This window comes from Homo sapiens, chromosome X, assembly GCF_000001405.40.
Source record: "Homo sapiens chromosome X, GRCh38.p14 Primary Assembly".
Lineage (NCBI taxonomy): Eukaryota > Metazoa > Chordata > Mammalia > Primates > Hominidae > Homo > Homo sapiens.
This window is the reverse complement of record NC_000023.11, coordinates 86,355,783-86,381,809: the sequence shown is the minus strand read 5'-3', so window position 1 is coordinate 86,381,809 and position 26,027 is coordinate 86,355,783. Positions and strand designations below refer to the sequence as shown.

The 26,027-nt window shown below is 33.4% G+C and overlaps 1 protein-coding gene across 8 annotated transcripts in view; it reads right to left on the bottom strand.

Moving 5' to 3' along the window:
* Positions 1–26,027, bottom strand: part of DACH2 (dachshund family transcription factor 2) — a 684,152-nt gene that overhangs the window by 450,793 nt on the left and 207,332 nt on the right. For 5 of the 8 annotated variants that reach the window (XM_011530846.3, NM_053281.3, XM_011530847.4 and 2 more), the window contains exon 2: positions 4,948–4,986. The exons of the other annotated variants lie outside the window; for them this stretch is intronic. In XM_011530846.3, coding sequence (XP_011529148.1) covers positions 4,948–4,986 — 39 coding nt within the window. The remainder of the gene's footprint in view (positions 1–4,947; positions 4,987–26,027) is intronic. 8 annotated transcript variants of the gene reach the window in all.

Below are 26,027 nucleotides of genomic sequence, written 5' to 3'. Positions count from 1 at the left end.
AAGTATAATGATGGTAAAGTTATGATCTTATTAACTGAGCCAGAGAGAGTGTTACAACAATTTTCACAAATTGACCAAATTCAATTTTCTCCTTATGTTTTATGCACAATAAATGAATTACAGCTTCAAGGAAAAGGAAAGATACGTATCATAGATCAAAGCATATACTATTTATCTAAGAGATTGTTTAGTCTAATACTGTAACTTAAAAGATGCAGCAACTGAGGTCCAAAGCCACAGATTTATGTGCAGAGTTAAGTCCATGGACTTATGACTCTTTTTTTCCCCAGAGCTCTTGCTGTTATACCATACTGTCTCATCAAATGAAAGTTTATGGGAAAGTGCTTGTAACTTAGACGATACTTTACAAATTTAAAATAGTATCTTTAATCCTTATCTTAATTACATATGTTTTAAGATGAAGAATAATGACAAAAATAGTATCTGTAAATATTTTTATCTGTGCTAAGTGATCGGAATCAATATTTCATATGTATGTGTATAATCGTAAGAGAATAAAAAGAATTATTTTTTCTTCAAACAGATCATTCATTAAAAATATCTACTACGCTGGCAATAATGTGAGGAAATGGGACCTCTTGTATATTGCTGGTAGGAGAGTAAATCAGAACAGCTTTGGAGAACAATTTGGCAGTAACCATTAAAGTTGAAGACACACATAGCCCACAACCTAGAAATTGCACTTCTAGGCTGATATCCTAGAGAAATACTCCCATATGGGTGCAAGACATGACCATTACAGCACGGTTTCCAACAAAAAATTGGAAACAACCTAATTATCAACCTATGAATATAGGAAAGAATTATCAAATTGTGTTATACAAGGTAGTATAACGGACAATTAAAAAATAAGTGAACTAGATTTACATATATCAATACGGATAAATCTCAAAAACATAATGTAAAAATACTTAAAAAGAATAGTATGATATCACAACAGTTTGATACATCTTAAAACAAAAAATTAAAAAAACACAAAAATCAACATTGCATGTTGTTTGTGTATAAATACACACATAATTTTAAAAAGACACAGCAATGATACACACTGATTTTAGGATTAGTGGTCATCTTTCATTTGTGGAGTAAAAAGGAGATTATTGTTAGTCATAATATTAATGTTTCACAGATACAAATTTTTTTCAGATACAATTTTTAAAATTAAACTGTGGATTAAGTGTAGCAAAATGTAGACCTGAATATTGATCCACAAGTTTTTCTCAGTATTTCCTGCTCTTTCCTTATTTTTTTCTTCCTGCTTTATCTGAACTATTTTATAATCTTGCTAATTTATTACACTATCAAAATGATGCTACCAAACTTGATTTCTGAATAGAAATGTCATTTTTCAATAAGTCATTTAATATATAATAGTAAATGAGGTGTTTTTCTAATTAGTCTGATTCCATTTGGCCGGTTATAAAATATATTGGCCCAAAGCATATGAGCTTTGAAACTAGACTGCTTTGATTCAAATGCTGTCCCTGGTATTTATAGGCTGTATGACCTTGGGTAAATCATATAACCATCTGTGTGACTCAGTATCACCAACTGTAAGACAACGATTATAATTGCAGCACCTATCTTATAGAGTTGTTACGATGATTAAAAGAACTAATATGTGAAAAATCACCTGAACTCACGTTTGATAAATGTTAAATATTATTATGTCTTGGCAAAAAAAGAGGATTAATTGTTCATCAATATTTTATCCTGAATTATCTTATTTATATGTCTATGCTGGTCAAATGCATCAAATAATCACTCATTTCTTAAATTCTCTACCTTTGAGGATTAACCACTTAACTAAAGATCCTTAATTATTAGAGTTTTAGTAAATAAGTTTCATTCATTAGTATATTTAAACATATTGCATCCCAATCATGTAACAGATTACTTGTGGTCAAAACTAGCTGATGATCTGGAAAGGGCAGCACTGTCTACCCAAATTTTATTTAAGTAAACATCAGCTATTTTGCACATTGTCATATGTGTTGACCAGTTACCCAATAATTTCTCATCTTTCACGTGTGTTTGTGTTAAATCTGCAACTAGAATGATTTGTCAAGGAATGAGATTTTTTTCTAGTTTATTTAGGATTTGAGATAATGCCTTCAATTCTTTCTCTTTCTTTTTTTACTTTTCTTTTTAAAGTTCTCGACTTTCTCATCAGAAGTGAAAATGTTAATTTACCATCCTCAATAAGGATTTATGGTACAAATCATTGTGACCATTAAAGCAGGTTTAACAGTGGGGTGTTTTCTTTCTCTTTTTCTTTCTTTCTTTTTTTTTTCCTAGAGAGATTGGAATTTAATTGTTTCCTTTTTAGACAAATATGCTTTTGGATTGCCAGTGATGAAAGGGGCATACAGATGTCAAAAGCATTGTAGCACAGTGGGATTATGTGCTAAGGTCCATGGCAGGACAGACAAACAAGCAAAGTCTCAGATCAGTCAAACAGTTACCTTTTAATAAAATCTCAGATGACCAACTTTGTTTTATCTTTGCCAATGCCTATCAAAAGTTCAAATGAAGTTTTGTTGTGTTAACTGCTTACATTTCTTTTATTTCTTATTTTAACCATTTGTAAAAATAAAGGAATTTTGCTAGATGGAATTGGGAATTTGTTTAAAGGCAAGCCAATTTAAAATAAAACAACACATGTTATACACATGGCTTTCTTCTTATTAAAACAAAATAAATTGGACTTTAAATAGAAACCTTAATTATGTTATGTGATGAGAACTATACTTAAGTATTCTTTTGTGGACATGGCAGTAATAATCTGTTTCATACTGCATTTCACTGATAACAGGAAAGCAAAAAAATACTAATTTAATTTTAATTTTCAAATCACTTGAAGGAAAAACTATATTGCCTATTTTGAAGTAGTAAAAAATAAAACCCACAAAGCGCATAACCACCATTTTGAGTACCAGAATAATTATTTGTAAGCACTCCCACTGGTTATTTATTCACCTTATATGAATTTTCCATGATCAAAGGCTTCAGGTGCATTTATAACAAACTGTGATTCTTTTTGCAATTGCAATATCTTGAGGACTCACCATTTAGAGCAGAGGTCGCAAACTGACAGCCCATGGGCTATATCCTGACCCCAGATGGATTTTGTTTTGCCTGTGCAGTGTTGCTTTTTTTGTTTTGTTTTGCTTTTTATTGAGTTAGTTACCAACATTTAAGAATTGGAGAATTTCATGTAAAAATCGTAATTCCCAGCTTCTTTTAAAAAGTCAGATCTTAACAATACTGAGCCTGCATTCCCACATGGTAATAATCAGCCAAACTGAGTAACAGCCACCACTTTGGAAAAGAATATATACTCCCTGGTTCACCATAGTCCCCACCACTCTGTATTTCTTATAGTCTTTCATTTACGTTACCATCCTTGCCTCAGTAGGGATTGGAGTTTGCGACTCTCCTGGTTTCTCTATAGTTTATGTGAGTGACTTGATACATATACTTTCAAAAACACTTCATGGTTTTTCTCTGATTGCAATAAATGTAAAAATATTATATATATATATGTACATATGAAAAGTATGTTTTGATAATCCAGAAATAAATCTATATAGTTATAAATTACTGCTATATTTAATGAAGAAAGAACTTGACTTAATTTGCTTGTCATTTTACTAGAAAATCAAAAATAAAGTGAAAGCCAATTTCAATGCCTGAATTCAATTGCATTCATATAAAATCGGAAACACTTTCAATATCCAAGCCTAGACTCAAAACATAATCCATTTACTATTTTACAGTTAAACTCAGTCATTAATAAAATCTAGTGGGTTTTAGTCTCCCCAGCATTGATATCATTGTCTAATAGAAAGTTTGGCACTTAAGGAGGCACATCCACTGCTTCAGGTCACTTGGGTATTATTTAGTGTGCATGACATGTAAAACTAACTTTTAATATAGAAAATGTCACAGATACTAGAAACACCACCATAGTGATGTTTTATTTTGTATGTTGAAAACCCAGGATAAATCCATGGTATAGTCCTCATCTCCCCTACAGCTCCATGACGTTTTTCTTATAGAAAAATATGGATAAAGCCTGCATCAAGGGCAGCCCTAAAGAAAGGGGCAAAAAAATATCACCAAAAGTTAATGTAACCTGAGAAAGAAGTGTGGAAGAGAAGAGGGGCACTACTGACAGGAACTATCAAAATATATTTTAGGATCATGGGTTCCCCTCCTTTGCCCTTGTCTCTGAGTCACTGTGTGTTCTTTTCACCACTACAACCTAAAATGTCTGAGGCCTGGAACAATATGTTATCTCTGATTGCCCTTTTACTAAGATTTTCATAGATATTTTAAGAGGTTTCAAGTATAAATCTTCTTAGACTTCCAAATATTTGTTTAAAATATTAGAAGAAAACAATTTAAATGTTTTAGAACTTCTAACATGCCTACAACACATATCTGTGCCTAATGCTTAGAATGACTCAGAAGATTAGAAAGCCAGATTCTTTTCCATTATCGTTGTAGCACACTTAATAGCCTGTGCTGCCCTGCAAAAGTGAATGTACCTTCCTAAGCATTCCAGAACAAAGGGGCAGGTGGACATCTGAATAACTTCCCCATTATTTTACATAGCTGTCAAAGTTTTTATGTCAGTGTTGTTCACTCAACCCCAACCAACCTTGCAGCCTTTCTCTAACTTCTGCTTTATAACCTCCAACTGGATGGACAGATTGTAATTCACTCTTTGGATTTCATTTTTTCTAATGAACTGAGGATTAAGCAAGATTCAGCATTTGCTGCTGAAAATTTCAAATGGCTCTACTTTCCTACCTTAGTGAGTATAGTACAGGGAACAAGATTATGAAAGTGTGGCTGAATCTGTACAGGCTCCAGGACATTCTCAGGAATTTGATTTTTAAAAAATAAATACATAAATACCTGTTAACAGCTTGTTTTCTTGTCATTTGCCTCTTCCTTCTAAAAGGAGAGTGTAGCAGAAAATAAATAAATAAAACTGGTTAATTGAGAGTTCTGGTTAGTTAGCTTCCAATTAAGCAAGGCTTTATTATATTTCACAAAACATCTTCCTAAATTCTGCAGAAATTTTAGATAGGTTACACACAATGAAACACCAGCAGGGAAGAGCACATAGAAGGTAAGGAAGCCTGAATTGCTATTAGTGTTTTAAATATATGAATAATGTTAGCACATTTATAGTATAATCCCCATTGACTAAAGAATAATGTGAAATGTCATGTGGTTTAGGGCTTTTCCATATATGAAGACAAGGAAATAAGGTTATAGATTTCTGTTGAAGAAAGTGGCCTTGGGTCGTAACAATTCCAAAAAAATTCAGCAATATTATGTCTTTTCCCTCTCTCTCAAGAGCCTTCCTTCCCATCCCATTAGGTATTCCAACATTTTGGAGGGAAAAATCCCTTTCTAATTTTTTCTCATCTTTTATTTGGCCAACAGGATGATGAAAGTAAGCCAATATCAATGTTGTGCTTATTTCCTAAACATGGAGCCATTGATCTCCGACAGATCACTATATACATTTTTCTGGAGCATACTGAATTATCTTACATCTTCCTCACAAGGGTTACACATGCACATTCACACACACACACACACACACACACACACACATACACACACACACAGTCATACATACATCCACACAAAAGAAATTAAACACATACAAAAGAGATCCATTTTAAAAAACACATAATTAGCCTTGTTAACAAAATAATAATTCTTTCCAGCAGTGCAGTAACTCCCAGTGTTCTCCAATCCTTTAATAAAGAACAGTGAAATCTGAAATGACATGCAAAAAAACCTGTGAGGACTATAATGTGGTTCTTTTAACCCTTAATGTACTTCTTAGTAATACAGAAATGGGAATCTTCCTATAATGCCCACTACAAGTATATGTGGTTAGTTCATAATCTTTTTGTTGAACAAAAATGAAAATATCATCTGTTTTGTTTTGTTTTGTTTGCTTTTGAAAAGCAACTGTTTCTCTGCTCAAAGTCTGTAGAGAGCGTTCTAAAAAAAATGAAAATATATCTGGGGTTGCTGGGGAGAGGAGGTAAGAGTGAAGGTGAGCCTTTTTTCACCTACTCTTACGTTCTGTCACTCCACTGCCATAACTATTTGATTTTGCTTTACATCTCACTCACCCAACCTCTTCTGAGGTGACACTGTTCTTAAATAAAATATAATCATACACACCAAGTCAGTGATAATGCATCCTTCCTTATTTTAATGGGCTATATATGACTGGATTTGAGGGCACTTTTTCAATTTTACCAAAGGTCCGTCTCTTTTTTAACAATAAAACTTTCTAAGCACAACAAACTTTTTGGCTACCACTATATATATATACATATATATATGTATATATATATATATGTATTATATATAATTATATATGTATTATATATAATTATACTATATAAATATATATATAATTATACTAATCCTCACCAAAATCAAAATCATTTACATCTCCTATGGCATGAGTTTCATAGGTTAAACTTAGACTCTGAAATCACTGACTACAGAAACATTCGTGTTAGAATTATTCAATGAATATATAAACACCCATGAGTTAACTGTCCTTTTATTACAATTTAAAACTTACTCAGAAAATTAGGAGTTTACCTTGATATTTGAAAATTTCTCATTTATCTTGTCCAATGTAAGGAATGTACTTTACAATAGTGCTTAACAAACTAGCTATAACTCCAGGGCTTTAAGGCCTACAAGTTAAATAGGTATATTTTGTTTTTGACATTCTAAGTAAAATGTGACTTCTATACTTCTGAATTTGTTCTTTTAGTGATATCAATTAACTCATTTTAGTTTTCCTTATACTTTGCCAAATAATCAACATTTTGGAAAACTTTATTGAACAAGCAGATGATGATACTAATATTATCAGCTCAGTACAGAATAGGTTATAATGTGAAAAAAAATCAGCTGGGTTCCCTGGAGTTGGCCCAAAATGTTTTGCATTCCTTCTATTTCCTCTTTGTCTACTAAAGTTTTCTTTTTGCTGCCCCTCTCCACTTCTGATTCTGGCTGTGAAACAAAAGTCATGATGAAGAGGCCTGAAATTTACTAAAATGTGTCTTTGTGGCTGACATAACATATGTTCACATTCTTATAAAGCCACTAACAAAACAAGGGTTACACACAGTCAAGAACGTTGTGGCAGATACAATATACAATATACAACTACCACCAACAGAACTATTAGCAACTGAGATTTTACAACATATGGTGGTAAGCAGTGAGGGTTCTCTACACAACTCACTAGTTCCAATCATCATCATGATTGTACCACATTAGGACATTGATTAACCTTACTGTAGAGAGAGCCTTCCCATATGCACAAGTTATGACTAGAAGGTGATTCTACTCTGGCTGAGACCCAAGAAGTTAATAATTGAGAGCTGGTTTTATTTAGAATTAGTCAAGGTCATTTTTACCCTGTATCACTGATAAATAAATTTTCATACTTTGATTCTTCCAACTTTGGGCATGTGAATGTGAAGCTCAACAAAGTTAACGACAGTGATTGCTACCCAGCATGCTCATCTTTGATTGCAGTCAGTTTAGTATAAGAATCAGAGATATGATATTCTCACTTTTGAAACCTAAATTTACCCCACAAAATCTCATTTAATAATATAGAGAAACAGCATGCGAGACACATGACAGGAGGCAATAAAATACCACATAATAAGGAGTCCAGTTAAAATGTCAGGCTCATTTAATTTAAGTATTTAGGTCCTTTTAGGATAAATTTAAAAATCACTATCTAATATCACATATTATGTTCAGCCTCTGATGTGAAGTAAACTAAAGAGATTGTTCCTTTAACCGATGCTTCAAACAAAGGAAAGTACTTCAAACAGAGCATTTTAAAGATACAGTCAAGTTTTGGAATTATCTACTGCAATGGATTTCAAACTGGATTCTAAAGAACTTCAGTGAAACTGCTAATGTATACTAGAAGGAAAAATAAAGGGAGCAATTCTCTTATATCCTTTCATTAGTGCAGCTCTTCCTTTTCCTATGTGATATAATGGGGGTGCCTGAACTGCTTTGGTTAACCACCTACCACCACCACCACCATTTAACAGACGAGGAAATTCTCCCGAGATGTTCAATTATTTGGCCAAAGTCGCAGAGGAAGTTAGTGTCAGATCACCCAATATACCGACCTGAATGACAGCTACTGCCCCTACATTTTTAATCCTGCTTCCTTCCTCTATTGTATATTAGAGAACCACTTCTTTAATGTCCTCCCAAAGACTGTCATATCTGTTTTATCCTCATGGGGACATAATAAGGTTGATAAACATTACATATATATTTAGATAGTAGAAGAGACAAGATTTGTGGCTCCCTTGATCTCTAAGCCAGTGATCTTTCTGTACAGAGCTTTAAAAATCAAAACAGTTTACATAAAATCTGAATTTCAATGTGCTTATACACTCTTGGTAGGAATGTAAATTAGTTCAGCCACTGTGGAAAGCACTTTGGGGATTTCTCAAAGAACTTAAAAAAGAACTACCATTTGACCCAGCAATCTCATTACTGGGCACATACCAAAGGAAAATAAATTTTTCTACCAAAAACACACATGAACTTGTATGTTCATCACAGCACTACTCATAATAGCAAAGACATGGAATCAACCTAAGTGCCTAGCAACAGGGAATGAATAAAGAAAATGTGGTATATGTATACCATGGAATATTACACAGCCATAAAAAAGAACAAAATCATGTCCTTTGCAGCAACATGGAAGCAGCTGGAGGCCATTATCCTAAGAGAATTAACACAGGGATGGAAAACCATATACTGCATCTTCTCACTTACAAGTGGGAGCTAAACACTGGGTACACATGGACATAAAGATGTCAACAATAGACACTGGGGACTACTAGACGTAGGGGAGAGGAAAGAGGAGCAAGGGCTGAAAAATTCCCTATTAGGTACTATGCTCTCTACCTGAGTGACAGGATCATTCACACCTCAAACCTCAGCAACACGCAATATACCCACGTAACAAACTTGCACACGTACCCCCCAAGTCTAAAACAATGTACTCCTGAATCTAAAATAAGGTTGAAATTTTTACTAAAAAGAGAGATCTGGCAATACTGGTTTCACATTCTTACTGGTTTGGCACAACTAGATGAAGTAGATTAGCAATGGCTACCCCATAGAAAGAGCATGCACTCTACTGTTCCCCACAGTTCCCACAATTTCTTATGACCTTATACCTGGCCCTCTTAATGAATTTATGTTGAATTTATGTTATTTCCAAGGTCCCAGGCAGAATATGAATTTTATGGCTGCTATTTTAAGGGTTATAGGTGTAATTTACCCAAATATCAATCAATTTCCCTAAAGAAAGTATGGGATTTCTGAAAACTTCCATGTGTGTGTAAGGTATTGACTGAAGGTGCACTAAGAGTGCTAAATCATCTGTCTACTTAAAAAAAAGTCATATGTACTTTTATTAATGAAGAAAGACAAGTCTTTGACCTTTGAAGTTGACATCCATATATATAGAATAGCACCTAAAGCAAGTTGCATCAGATAAACACAGATTAAATAAGAAACAAATTCTGATTACGCTCACAGATACAATATCATTCAGAGTAGAAGCTATATATTTAAAATTCGAAAAGATCGATAAAAATGTTCCCTATGCTTTGAAATGAAGTCAGCTGTTGACATATACTGCCATATTTTGGGGACTACTAAATTAGGTTTCGGTTGCCCCTCACACAGGTAATATCTTTTAGTCATGCAATTTATTTTTCTGGCCCAATACAATAAACAATGTCTATTTGCTAACAAAATGTAATAAATAAATGAAGTATAAGTCAAGCAATGCCTCCCCACCTCCCATCAGACATCATCAGTAGGAGATAAACTGCCAATAAATATGTGCTGGTAAAACTTTTAAAAGTTATCTTTGAAGATATGACCAAATCATGTTAACTGTTGCATTTCCACTGTTGGAACTTTTAAAGGTCTTTCCTCACTCTTAGATGATAACTTTATGCATCTTATATAACAACACTTGCTCCACAGCAGCTGGTTTAAAGGCATTTAATCACTTTAGGAATCCTGAAAAATGTTTGGCAAACATATATATTAACAGAAAAAAAAACCTGAGGATATCCTTATTTTAAAGATGTAAATTTAATAGCCTGTATATTTCAGGCCTATTTAAGTTTGTAGGAGGCATCCAAACAAACGCTTTGTCTGTTAAATCTCCAAACACATGATTTTTTGAACCAAGGCCCAGACAATTAAAACTGACCATTTGCTTCCTCTCAGAATTTTTTTTCTGTAATTATTTGGGAATAACAAAAACTTTGGTTATATTAAGTATTTGCTGCTTCTGATAAATTTTGATGCACACACTTGAGTCTTTTAAAAATCAGTGAGATTTAAAGTCAGAGTCAAGAGGAAAAACAAAAAAAATTGAATATGGGATGGGGTGGTGGTGAAGATAAATGGGCCTATGGAATTTTTTTACTAGTTTGTTTGTAGGAGATAGGGTTTTTGGTTATATATATACACTCTTGTATTAACATAGAGTGTCAATATAACTCAAAGAATGCAAGACCCTATGTCAATTGTCTCTGACAGATGATCCTTTATACAAACAATATTTTGTTGGTCCTGTCCGAGGAGCCTCAGCAGTTTCAATGATATTTCTCATATGTCCTACAAAAACAAAGAATATCAAAAATAGGATTACTGTTCACAGCATCAAATATCTTTTTCAAGGCAATGTTCATTTTAAAAAATAGAATAACTTGGTCTTCTCATGGTACAACAATAAGTGTTTCAACATGTGTGATATATGAATATATGTACCATCAAGCATGATGCCCATTAAATATCTTTAGTGGTACTATGGATGTATACCAACTAATATTTTCAATGATATTCTTCCACATATTCAAATTCAGTAAATATCAGTCACATACATAAACTGATTATTAGCTAATTTGCTTGAAATCATTTCTGTCGTATAAAGCTTTAAACGTTAAAATTCCTCAAAACCTTCATAAATTTTAGATCACTTAATGCTATGTCATCTTTGTCTACAATGTTTCTGTTGGAAATTTTTTATCTTTCAGTCTTGCTATTCATGTTTGTAGGTTTGGCTAGACATCATGGGTGACCTTTGAATTGTGTGCTTTGATCTGCATAGGGGTTCTAGCCAGCCTCCGGTAAGGGATTTTTCAGCACCATTACACTATTTATATTTCATGTCTTCCAGTCGATGATCATGTCCTGCTATTGTGTGTTCAGAATGACTCACAGAAAACACTAAAGAAATGCTTCAGAAGCCAAACAAAACATTTATGGTAGATATACTCTGCAGCCCTTAAAACGTTGGACACAATTACTGCTTTATCAGCTTTTAGCTAACTTTGTGTTTGATGGTTTGATATCACACTGAGACAGTAGTAAACTGGCTTACTTCCTAGTTTACTGCCTATGTGGAGAACTTGGTGTCAACTTCCAACCCTGAATTGCTCATTAAAATGATGTTTCCTTCCTAGCACTTATCACAATGTGTAATTATTTTACCTATTTACTTGTTTTAGGTCTACTTTTCCAATGACACTGTAAACTCCATGAGATAGTAGGTTAGGCTTTTTATTTGCTGTTTCATTCCATCAACCCACACAATGCTGGCATGCAGTAGTCATCAGTAAATATTTGTCAACTGAGATGAATTTTGACCTTGTGAAGGGACACTTTACCCTTATTCAAAATCATCACTGTACAGTCTTTAAGGTTATTTTTATAAAACATATTTTGAGAATGTATTTCTACTTTGCAGTGCTGATTAACATAATTAATTATGATACATGATTTGTATAAGAACAGCCATGGTGTTCTAGAATCTGAGTAAACTTTCTCTGAGTAGCCAAAGTTTATCAGAAACTTTATAAGTCCAAACTTATTGATGGCAGCAAATATACTGAATTATTGATTGGTAAAAATATAGATTCATTATAAAGCTATTCATGAAAATAAATAATGCTATAACATTTATTTGAATTATACCTTAACTTTTTCTAACATTTGGCAAATTGGTCTAATTAAGCTTAAATTAGATGTGAAAAGCAGTTCTGTAAGCAGAACTCAGCTAAGCTGTTTCTAAGAAAATGAGTTCATTTGCCAATTGATCATTCTGATAATCCTATCTGGTTTAGTGTAGCTGCAGATGAAGACAATCAAGCAGGGTCAGAGCAAAGGAATCTTGGCCTGGACATGCTCTTAATGTATTACTGGGAGTCAAAAATGGGAATGAAGAGGATTACCGATTTGAAAGTCCATTAAATCCCTTATATTCATCTCCTGACTTAATCCCTGACAAGGATTTTAAAATAAAATATTTTAAAATAGTCTAAAATAAAATATTTCAAAATAAGATAAATAAATGTATTTTGAAATCTATTTAAAATCTATTTTAAAATAAAATAAAATCCATGTTCCTTACCAATTAAGAGACCAGAGGCACATATTTAAAATTACAAATTATTATCTTTCAAAGCAATATATATAAGTTTGTTTACAGGTTCAAAATCTCATATTTAAATAATAATACCACTTGTTGTATAGTTTTACAGTTAACAGAGCATTTTCTCTTCATTGCCTAATAGAATAAAACTATTTTGTGCGCAAAAGTAAGTTTGAATCTTCATATATTTTCATATGTAATATATACATTAAAATTATATATGTAGAAAGTGAGATTGAAGAGTTTTTAATCTGATTCAGTATTCTACCACTTCTTGTTAATATTTATCTATGTGAATATGACTGAATTACTGTTTTATCTTGATGCTTTTTTCCTTAATAAGCTATGTGACTTTTATGCACTGCAAAGAATTAACTTAAGAATCAAAAAGGCTGAGCATAGTGGCTTACATCCGTAATCCCTCGAGACCAGGAGTTCATGACCAGCCTTGGCAACTAGCGCAACCCCTTCTCTGCAGAATTTTTTTGTAATTAGCTGAGCATGGTGGCACATGCATGTAGTCCTAGATACTCAGGAGGCTGAGGTGAGAGGATCGCTTGAGCCCAGGTATTTCAACCTGCAGTGAGCTATGATCGCACCACTGCACTCCAGCCTGGGTGACAGAGTGAAACCCTGTCTCAAAAAAAAAAAAAAAAGAAGAAGAAAGAAAGTAAAAATATTGACTATTGACGAAAGCTCTTCAAACATGCTTATAATTGATATCTAACAGTTTGCATACTGATCCCATAGAGGCCATATTTATCTTCACACCTTATCATAGCAGATTCTTAGTTCAATATTTATTCTATAAATGTTTAGTGATCATCAACTATGTACAAAAGGCTCTGTGCTATGGAGGATACAAAGAGAATACAAAGATCTTCAACCATAGTATCTTACATCAGGAATATTACGATCTAAAAAGAGAGAAATTATGACCACAAATGTAACATTGAATATCTGTGAGTGATAAGCACCACTTGATTTCCTGGTATACAGTAAATACTCAAATACATCTGATTAATGAATGTTGAATCCATGGGTGAAATTAAATTAAGTACTATAACAATTTATAAGATGAAAATATCACTTTTACCTGAAGTCGTCAGTGCAGTCACTATGGGGGAGGTAAAATTTGACTTGGGTCTTGAAGTAGGTTTTAAAGAACAAAGACTGAAAGAGGATAACAATGCTTTAGGAAATTAAAACTGACAAGATGCACAGAATGGATTGTTATAAGAGAGTGTGTAGGTGAGGAGACCAAGTAGGAGGTTACTTCAGGGTGGTGGAGATGAAAATCAAAAGGAAAGGACGTGTGCAACAGAAAGTCTAAAGCCAACATTAATATGATTTAAAGCCTGACTTATGGAAACTAAGTACAGAATGGAACAAAGGAGAACTCTGAGCTTATGACTTTGTTTCCATGAAAAATTATTTTCCAACTTTTGAACAACAGCCAATTCTGAACGTAACAGGGTTAACAGAAAAACACTGAACAAGGCATAAGGAAACTTGGGTATTGGTCCCGACTAGGCCATTAACTGTGTCACCATTAACCGTGTCACCATGAGCAAATTACTTCCCCTCTCGAGATCCCAGTATACTTCTCTGTAAAACCAAGGTTGAATGAGTTGATCTCTCCAGCCCATCACAGCTCAAAAACCCTGTAGTTCTCTGATTCCTAAATTGTTGGCTACCTGCCTACAATATAGGTAGATTACATTGAAAGTCTTCTGAGAGGTCAGTGATGGTTGCAGTTTAGTTGCCACTCCTGAGACATACCCTTTTTCCTCTGATTTAAAGTTATTGCCTGCCTGTTAGAGGTATTCAGCTAAGGGGCATTCTCTTCTATGTTTCAGAAAAGCACTCTCTGAAAAATCCTGTAGACATTTTCATTCATAGAATAAATCAGTAGTGCATTATTCTGTTTGCATGCTACAGAAAAATGGTCTTGAAAAGCTGAGAAGCTCCGATGTTTGTTTCAGCAAGTTTTTCTTCTAAAATTTATGCATCTCTTTTACAATAATCTATACTATAATAAAAAGACATTGTCTATCTCTATGTACATTGATATGTTTATATTATTTTCAATTAAATCTTAAATTTGCTCTTTAAAACTCACAGAAACTCAGGATTCTATCCTGTCTTCACAGCTCATATCCTAAGGCCAATCTAATTCTCTCTTTCAAATGCTGCATCTTTAAAAAAAATATGGTGCATTAGTCCATTTTGCTTTGGTATAAAGGAACACCCGAGACTGGGTAATTTATAAAAGAAAGAGGTTTATTTGGCTCACATTTCTATAGGCTGTACAAGAAACATAGTGCCATCATCTGCTTCTGGTGAGGCCTCCAGAAGCTTATAATCATGGTGGAAGGCAAAGGGGAAATAGGCATGTCACATGGCAAGAGGGGAAGCAAAAAGGGGGGTGGGGTCGCAGACTCTTCTCAACAACCAAATCTCATGTGAACTCATTACCATAAGTAGGGCACCACACCATTCATGAGGGATCTACCCCCACAGCCCAAACACCTCCCACCAGGACCCCCCTCCAGTGTTGAGAATCACATTTTGACATGAGATTTGGAGGGGACAAACATCCAAACTGTATCATATGGTAGCCAGAAATAAATGTAATATTCTAAGTGGGGTTATTAGGAATGATACAATCTCATTATAAGTCATGTAGCTATTTAGGTCTTTGCTATGACCATGCATTCAGGTAAAATCAAGGCTGTCATTTATCAAGAAAGTCTCAATTTAATTTTCATTTCTCCTCCAGGCAGTTAGTTTTATCTTGAACTTTCTGATTGGATAATTCTTACAAAAAGAGTGAATGAATTAGATTATTTGCCTAACAGTTCCACAGAGAAAAACATGCCACACCTACTGACTGCTAATTACTATCCCACTTCATCCTCCTTAGATAAAAGTAAATGGACATTAACTATATGTACATTTTCATCTATTAATATGTTCAACTATTACCTAACCCCATGAGTGTGCATTGATTTTCATCATTTAAAATGCCAAGCACCAAAAGGAAGACCCTTTGGTCTTCCATTTGGAAGCACCAAATGGATATCTCCTTGTAGTGTCTAGCAAAAGACAATGTACACAAAAGCACCTAATTATAGTGGTGTGAAAAGGTTGTTACAATGAACACTTAAAAGAGCTGTGAAACTTTCTGACCTCTACCTCTGCTGTGAATAAGTTACTATATTCCTTTCTAATAATAAAATCGGGTCAAATAACTTGCTAATCTTTGACACTGGTCACTTCATTTTTTAGACATACAAGTTGAATTATGACTCCTACCTCTCTGCTTACCTGGCAATTTGTGTGTGCCTCTGTTATAGAACTCAGTTACAGGCATGTCTCCCTCACTAGGCTTCAATTATTGAAAGGAAACAAAACCTAACTACTAAACACTGCCTGGAGAACAAGAAAAGTGCAAACATTATAAAACAGTACTAAAGCCTTTAGAAGACATGTGTTTGTTTAAAAGTCTTTGGGGCGATAGTATTGACTTCAAATATAACTATCCAGATAAAAGCTCATTTTTTCCAGGTCCTATATTAAGTCTTCAATGCAATGAAAACATGCTTTTTAATGGAAATTAAAAATTAATCTACATTTTTGTTATGCTTATTATTTCCCAAATACCGACGGATACTGTTAAAATCCTCATGAACAAAGTTTGAATTTTTTATATTCTTTGATTGTAATACTTTTTATCTTGTTGCAATTCCATACATTTTAAATTACAGGAAATTTCCTCCAACTGAAATGTCCTTCCCTAAAGATGATTGTATTCCTTTCACTCTTCTTTATTTAGTTTTCTGTTGTCTCAAAAGTGTACCACACTATCTGTTTTTTTTTTTACATGCAAGTTTTTCGCCTTTATCTCTTGATCTCAATCAAATTAAAGAATAATTTCCCCTTGGTGGAAGTCAATATACTGACACTGTCTTCTATATTAGGTATCAACTTTAATGTTTTAGCAAAATTGAACAAGTCCACCAATATGTCTCCAAATAAAATGTACAATATATGTGTATCCAGGGAGTTTATTGAAGTATAAATTTCTTAGCTGAATCCACGTTGAGGGTTATGATTAGAATTAAACAAGTACCTATGAAGATTGTTAGCCATTTCACTACCTAATATTTCCTGTTAGTCATTCTGGCTTTATGTCGCTAGTGGGTTTTATTCTACCTTTTCAGAAGCTATCTGTATTATTCCTTTTGTATAGTTACCCTTTTATCTTATCAATTACTAGAGGTTACTCCCGTAACTCTCTTCTAAAATAACACATGAGCATCTTCTTTATTCAAATATCTCTTCCAATATGCTCTCTTAAGTCTAAAACTTCAACAGGCATGTATTTTTTTCCCTAAAGTTTCATCAGTTCTCATGCCAAAGGGTTTTAAAGAAAACCGTTACTATCCACTTATCTCTTAATTCAAACAAATTTTTAAAAGAAAGAAAAAATGAAAGAAAAATGCGAGAATAGAAGAAAGAAAAGTCTTCCTCTTTCCTGTTGTGTGAATATTAATTACTGCTAATGGAGATGATTGAATACTCCGTAGCATGGGGTGTGGTTTCTACCTTCCCATCACATCATGCTTCTCCTCACGTCTCTAAGGTCACCCCTTGTTTAGGATTCCTTAGCTTTACCTTCTTTCTCTTCCACGTTGTATAAAGTGTTAACAGTCTTCACACCGCAATCAAGGAATTTCGGATTGCTTCCTCATCTCTCCAGGGCAAATAGGCCTTCCTTTATTTCCCCTCTACGCATTGTTAGCAATACTGTATGAGATTCTTAGTCTTTTACTCTGCTTATTTGTGAGGCTCTTGGTCTTATAGTGATCACATTTTGAAGAATGTCTTTGTATCTGTGAATGCCTTCCCTTAAAAATCACATTAAGTGGCAATGAAAGACCACCCACTTATTCTGAAGATGCATTCGTAGTATGAAACAATACATTTTTGCCATTCTCACAAATAGCATGCCCTTATTACCTCACACTCACCATTTACCCATAACAATTGCGGCAAACAAAAATAAAAAAATTAAATAGCAATGCCATGCAAAATAGGCAGACAGGTCTTACATTCTTTACATACAAATTACAGAGCATTTAGGAGATGGAGAAAAATGCTCAAAGGTGTTTAGTGTCTTGGCTTTCTTTTAAAGCATCATTTTCTTTAAAGGCTTTTAATAGGAAAGAAACTCATTTCCCATTTTAATAGTCTTTAAGTGATAAAGCCAAAAAATAAAAGAAACCCCAGGAGCAGCAGCAGAGGATAATTTTTTAACTATAGGAAACAAAATGTTTTTAAATTAGAAATGGCTGTTAATCAAATAGCTTTTAAAATTTTCTTTACATACTATTATGGTTCATCCATTTCATCTGCTCAACATAATATGTACATAGAATGTAAACCTACATACAAATATATATGTGTTCCAACCAGATAAATAATATCTTAATACCAGATCCCACGATATTTCCAAACGATTTTTCAGAAGAAAATATAATTTTATGATTAACTGTCATCATTAAAATTTCTATTTTGTTGTCTTACTAGAAGAAACTGATGAAAGCAATCATGTATATTTACAATTGAGTACAGATAGAAACAAGCTGTCTTTATAGCAAACTTTTGAAAATCAGTTATAATATACTTTTGACAACTGTTAAATTGTTATAATTATGAAACTTATCATGTTGTCATATGACCGTACCAATAGGATCACACACATGATCAAATTATTTTAATGGTAATCCTATAATATTTCAGTAAAAACTTTTGCAAGATGTGGAGTTGTAAGAAGGATCATTACCAGACGGGAAATTTTCTTTGCAATTTATTTGAAACACCAAGAACACCTGAAAAGTAACAATGAAGCATAAGGTCAATTTATCTTTCTCTAATTGCTATCTTTTAAAGAAAAACTTTACAAAAATCTCACTACAGATAAAGCACCTAAATTTGCCACTGAAACCCTAACTTATTTGATATACCTTAAATATAATCTAAACATATATTACATGTGTAACTGGAAAATTTTTACTAAGGAAAAATACTACTAAATAGGAGTAAATTCTAAACAATATGAATTATTGTCACATATTTTTTCCCTAAAATCAACTTTTCTTTTGATTGAAAATTGGTCAATATTATGAACTAGATTCTGGCATTATTTTCCTATATTTAAAGTACCCACAGTGCTTTGAAGCACTGAGTTTCAAGCCTATGCCACTTTACTAAAGGATTTTTGCTACTAATGAACTGCTCCTCTCAAAGCTATTATTATGATATCTAGACTACTAGTATTATCACAATTAAAAGTAAGCCCATCTGTTAAAACTAGAATATGGTACCGGTACCGAAAAATCACCTGTTTAGCAACTGGCACATCTACAATATTTTAGAGCTACTATCTTTTCAAAGTTCAGTAGCTTGGTGACATGTTAGACTAATTAGCAGTTCTGTTTGCACCGGCTCTAGAAAAGGGAGAGATTAAATGTCTAAGAAAACATTAAGTGTATGTTTTCCTTTCACTTAAGAAAATTATTATAATGTGTGGGGGAATGCCATGGAATTAGGAATCTGCTGTCATTTCCAAACAAATTCCCCCAAGTTAATTGTGGAATTGTGTTTTAATTGTGGATCTCCTGTGAACTTTTTTCAAAACAATCCTCCTTTTTAAAGTTTTCTATTTTATTTAGTTTATCACCTTAAATTTGTTTTGATTTCTTTCAATGGTTTTGGCTAAAGCTAATCACCTCTACATTTTAGCCAATTTTTTTAAGTTTATTTTTTGGCCATCTGCTTTTTCCGTCAGCTCAGTTTTGTGTGCATGCGTGTGCAGTTTAATAATTTATAAAATTAATGCCACTAAGAGGCTCTCATTTTCTCTCTGAATTTATACCTTAGAGTAGAACTAAAATCCTGGACTAAAAGTTCCTCATTCATCTTCATCCTGGTCCATAATAACTGTCCCACTTCTGACTGACTTTTTGTTTGAATATTTAGGTTTAAACAGTATCTAGCATTGTTCTAAATCCTAACATTTGCTAAACATTGAGTAAATACTTACTGAGTGAAGAGGGACAGTAATCTAAGGATTTTTGGGATATAATCTCAGTATGTTTTTCTACAGGCATAATCATTTATAGGTATTAAAGAGATTTACTAATATAGATGAAATTTTACTATTTAATAATTATTGCAATTGTAACTGTCAAAATAACAACTGATAAGTTAATTTTCTTATTTCTGAATTTTAAATGAGTTTGGAGGTCTCCAATATATTATTTATAAAGGTTGCAAGATAAATAACTTTGCATCTGCCATATTGAACTTAATACCCAGAGGAGAAAAATAGATATATTTTATTCTACTTCCTCCTGTTCAACTGAATTTTCATTTCGAAATATTTGTAATTCTGTCAAATGATGTAAGTTTAACACAAACTGCACACCATGTTAAGATATTTTACAAAAGAATACAATTTATTAAGTTTATATCTTTATGTAATAGTACAAATATGCTTATACTGTTTGAATAAAAATGTATTATAAAGTCTTAATGGCATCAATTAAATTCACTGTATCTTGTCAACTTGCAAATAAAGCCCCTAAACACTTAACTTAAATATAAAACTACCTTATTTTATGGAGAAATAAAATATTAACAGAATGAATGATAACCTTACTATGATGAGACACACTGAAACACCACTGGATTGCTCGAAAGGTAGATCCTGTCATGAAATACCAAGATAATTGTTGGAGTTCTCTTAGAAATATTGGTATAAAATAATGAAATGAAAATTATTCAACTGCATCTTTTATTTTGCTCATATGTAAACTGAAAAATGTATCATTATTCCAATAACCATCGTCTTCAGATATAAATCATATTTTTAAAACCTATGATATTGAGAAATATTCATAATTTGCCTTTGGCTACCTTAAACACTCCATTCAAAACAAAGATAAGCAGTAGGTCTACACACAAAATAGTAAAATTATATGCATTTATACAAGTTACATATTGTTTGCTGAAAAAAATGCTATAAAAGCAGGTACACTTTAAAGAGTTTTTCAAATTTTAGCAGATTGCCAGATGCAGTAGAAAAAAGATAAGCTGTTCTTTAACTTCTGAAAGTTTATTGCAGGTTTTATATGTGTTTCAGTTCAATAATGTTTGTGTTAATGGTAGGTTTTTTTAGGGTTCTTCAGAATAACAATTAAAGCATATAAGCATATACTATAACTCAAAATATGCTCAGCAACAAAAAAATGCACATTCTGGATTATCACTCAAAAATAAATATTAAAGTACCATTAAAATATTATTTAATATATAAGTTTCATTTCCCTTAATGCTATTAGGGCAAAAATGTTTTTTTAAAATACATTGGTTATTTATCTGAGTTCAAAATGTTTGTCTGGGAAACCATTTAATTTTGTTTTACGAAAATTTTTTACTATCAAAGAGATGATAAAGATAGATTCAATTCTTCTCAGGAAAGGATAGGACATGGATTTAAATCAAAAAGGAATGTACATTAGCTGCAGGACTTTGGAAGAATCATATACAATTACATAAATGTGTCGATAGGGTGAAAGCATGTATTGGGTTGATATGATAAAATGTAAAAGTGTGTTTTTTCCTTAAATATTTATAGGCTTCTCAAACACTGAAAAATTCAATGACCTTATTTTCTTGGGGAAAAACAAAAGAAAAAGATATTAATGAGAAATGTCCATTTTAATATATGTGCTTGAATATATGTATATGTGTATATGTTACCCTCAAGTTCCAAATATCATTCCCACAGTGTTTTATAGAAAAATGCCCAACAGAATGAAAGTGTGGGGCATAAGGGGAAAATCCTTGGGAAAGAGATCATTCTGTAGGCTGGCAATAATGATGATATATAAACATCTGATTCTGTGTTACTGTCATATAAAGGATTATAGTGCTTAAAAGAAAAAAACATATAGATGTATAACACACTGTTCTGGATCCTATATAAATGAGTAATATTTAATTAGAGGGAAACAATCTTTGAGAAGCCAAAAATCTAAAATAAACAGAGTAGTCCAGGCCACCTAGGGAGACCCCATCTCTACAAAAATAAAAATAAAAATTATCCAGGCATGGTGACACACATGTATGGTCCCAGCTACTCAGGAGGCTGAGGTGAGGGATAGCTAGAGCCCAGGAGGTCAAGGCTGCAGCGAGCGGTGATCTAGTTGCATGCACCACTGTACTCCAGCCTGAGCATCAGAGCAAAACCCTGTCTCAAAATAAAAATAAAAAATAAAATGAACAGAAGAATCAAATGTACTCGCTGGGCAGGCAGAAGGAATTTTGGTCAGCTGAAGTCTGAACTTAACACTTTCTTAGCTTTCTCTTAGTTTTCTTTTTTTGTTTTTGTTTTTTTAACTGAGACAGGGTCTTGCACTGTCACAAGGCTGGAGTATAGTGGCACAATCATGGCTCACTGTAGTTTTGACCAGCTGGGCTCAAGCGATTCTCTCCCCTTAGCCTCCCAAGTAGCTGGGACTACAGACGTGCACCACTGTACGCAGTTAATTTTAAAAATTGTTGGTATAGATTGGGTCTCACTATGTTGACCAGGCTGGTCTCCAATTCCTGGCCTCAACCAATCCTTTGGCCTTGGCCTCCCAAAGTGCTGGGATTACAGGTTTGAGCCACCACACCTGGCCTCTCTTGGTCTTCTATGTGACTATACAAGCTTAGGCTTTCTTTCCCTGATCTAATGCTATTAGAAAATCGTGCACTCTAGGATAATACAAAATGTCACAGATTATGGAAGGTGGCTATTTTTAATGTATAGTATCAAAATGTAGTTCAGTTCACAGGTGACATTTCATATGAAACTAGTATTGCAATATATTTTTATCTAAATTTTTCATTTGACTTTATATTTTATTTTGAATTTGATAATAGCATTTATATTTCTCACCAGAATCAATATAAATTAATTTTAATTGTAATAAAATTACCTGTAAGAAATTAAAGGCACTCTTTAATTAAATACACACATGCACACACAAACACACACACACACACACACACACACACACGACAAAATATAATGGTTCTATTTCTCCCTTTCTCTGATGCCACATTCTTGACCAATACATAACATCTACCAACGTATCACATTCCACTGGCTATACAACCTGGCTCTGTGACAGTAGCTCCTCATTTTCAAATCTGATCTGAAAGTTTTTTAAACTTCAATGATATTCTGCAGGCCTAGCTTCTTATCCAAGGAGCTCAAGGTTCCCTCCAAATTCAGTTACTAGCATATGTCAGATATAGGCCAGTGAAAACTGGCCTTGTATGGAAAGTGCATCAGATTTCAGTCTTAAACAACATGTTTATATCATCCTTTCACCAGTCACTTGCAAAACTGAGACTAGAATTTTTTTTTTCTTTTACCAATCAAGAATAAACAAAGATGAGCTGGGAGAAAGAAATAGCTTCTATCAGGAATTTTTCCACTACCTAACCTTGCCATCTTGCCACTGGGTATTGCTTCTGGCCAAGATTCTCCTGCTGAGTTTGCTCCCCAGCAATTGTAGGTAGCCTAATGATAAGAGGGTACAAAGAAGAGGATTATCAGCAGGGCTTGTAGGGGCATTGCCATCACTCCATAATTGCTGCCCAGCTCTCTCTGGGATTGTGTGTGTGTGTGTGTGTGTGTGTGTGTGTGTGTGTGTGTGTGTGTGTGGCGGGGCTGGGATGGCATAATTTGGAAAATACATTTCTATCTCAGGTAAATCTACTTTGAATCGTACTTAAAACTAAATAAGAACAAGCCCGTTTAAGCAAAGGAGAAAGTGATTGGAAGAAACACTTACATATACTCAGAGAACTCTAGCTAGAATACAGATCTAAACTGATTTTTTTCTATCTCTTACAACTTGGCTGAAAGACAGAATTATTTCTAATGAGATATTTTATATAGAAATATTGCTGTACAGCAAACATTAAATAGTGGACTACTCTTGAGCTTGCTCAAATTATAATATTTAACAAAATCCTGCAGGAAAATACAAGGTGATGAAGTGGGAGAGGACATGACAGGGAGGATGAAGAAAGATAAAACAGGGTGGGTGAAGAGGAGAGCAATCCAAAAATGTAGTGTTCCCATTACCTGTACACACCCACACACATTTTTTGTCTGCCCAACAAACTTCTAGTTGTCCTTGAAACTCAGCTCAAGTGCTGCTTTCTCTGTCCCTACAAGACTGACCTAAGCCCTTGATTGAAGAATGAATGGGAGAAGATAGTCATAAATACTTTTGTCTCATGGATATGCCAAATAAAACATGGAAATACACAAACAAGATACCTAGTAATATCCTTTCATCAGTTCACTCCATTTGATCAAGCACACGTGTGTATAACAAGTGATTTTTATCCTTTGATTTCCAGGTTAAAGAAAGAATGAGTTGGAAAGCATATATGTAATACTAAAACATTACCTTATTAAGGCTGTATGTTTGAATAAGCCCAGAAAAATATTTAATACAAATGGTATTGCTCTGTTCTAACTTATTAAAATACACGAAGAATGTCACATAACAGAATTTTACTCAAAGGATAAAAAACATTACCTTTGTAATATGACCCTAAAAGTTACACTAGCTTATGTAAGGAATACATTTATCTCTATGTTTCTTATGTTTTCTTGTAGAGAGCCCAGGTTGCTTCACATGTGAAAAACATTGTGTGCCCAACCAGTTTAAAGCTCTATAATGCAGAAAACATGTTCTTTGTCTAGTCCCTAAAACTAAAACACAGAACTAAGTGTCAAGATATTTGTAATCCTATGTATTATGCGTAATAAAAATAACAAAAGCAGGAGTTTGATAAATACAAGTTTATTTATTAAAAAGCAAATACAGAATATAACTTTTAAAAGGCACAGAGGAAATCCACTCAGAGGACCATTTCAAGTAAGCTTGCATAGTTGGTTGTGTTTCTAACAATGATTTTGTGTTTTTTTGACTTTTTAGTAATGGTCATTCTTGCAGGAGTAAGTAACTTGGATGGAGCTGGAGGCCATTGTAAGTGAAGTAACTCAGGAATGGAAAATTCAATACAGTATATTCTCACTTACAAGTGGGAGCTAAGCTATGGGTATACAAAGGCATACAGAGTGATACAATGGACTATGGAGACTCAGAAGACAGAGAGTAGGGGAGAAAGGGATAAAAACCTACATACTAGGTACAGTGTATGCTACTCCAGTGATACGTGCACTAAAATCTCAGACTTCACCACTATACATTGCATCCAAGCAACCAAAAACCTCTTCTTGTACCCTAAAGCTAAGAAATTAACAAAATTCAAGAAAAGAAAGTAAAAAGACAGCTTGAAAAAATATTTTCAACTCATATATCTGCCAAGATCTAGCATTTTTTAATTTTTTTAAATAAATTACAGAACAACATGAAAAAATAAAAATAAAAATGATTTTGTGATTCCATGCTCATGGATAGGAAGAATCAATATTGTTTAAATGGCCATATTGTCCAAAGCAATTTACGGATTCAGTGCTATTCCTATCAAGCTATCAAGGATATTTTTCATAGAATTAGAAACAATTCTTCTAAAATTCGCATGGAACCCAAAACAAGCCCAAATAGCCAAAGCAATCTTAAGCAAAAAGAGCAAAGCTGGAGGCATCACATTACCCAACTTAAAACTATGCTACAAGGCTACAGTAATGAAAACAACATGGTACTGCTAAAAAAAACAGACACATAGACCAATAGAACAGAATAGAGAACTCAGAAATAAGGCCACACATCTACAACCATCTGATCTTCAACAAACCTAACAAAAACAAACAATGGGGAAAGGACTCCCTATTCAGTAAATGGTGCTGGGATAACTGGCTAGCCATATGCAGAAGATTGAAATTGGACCCCTTTCTTTCACCATATACAAAAATCAACTCAAGATGGATTAAATATTTAAATGTAAAACCTAAAATTATAAAAATCCTTGAAGACAACCTAGGAAATACTATTTTAGACATAGGCTCTGGCAAAGATTTCATAATGAACACACTGAAAGCAATTGCAAAAAAAGGAAATATTGACAAGTTGGACCAAATATTATATTAAAGAGCTTTTGCAAAGCAAAAAACCTATCAACAGAGTAAACAACCTACAGAATGGGAAAAAAAAATTGGCAAACTATGCATCTAACAAAGGTCTAATATTTAGAATCTATAAGGAACTTAAACAATTAAATAAGCAAAAAAGAAACAACCCCATTAAAAAATGGACAAAGGGCATGAACAGACCCTTCTCCAAAGAAGACCTTTACATGTGGCCAACAAGCATATGAAAAAATACTTAACATC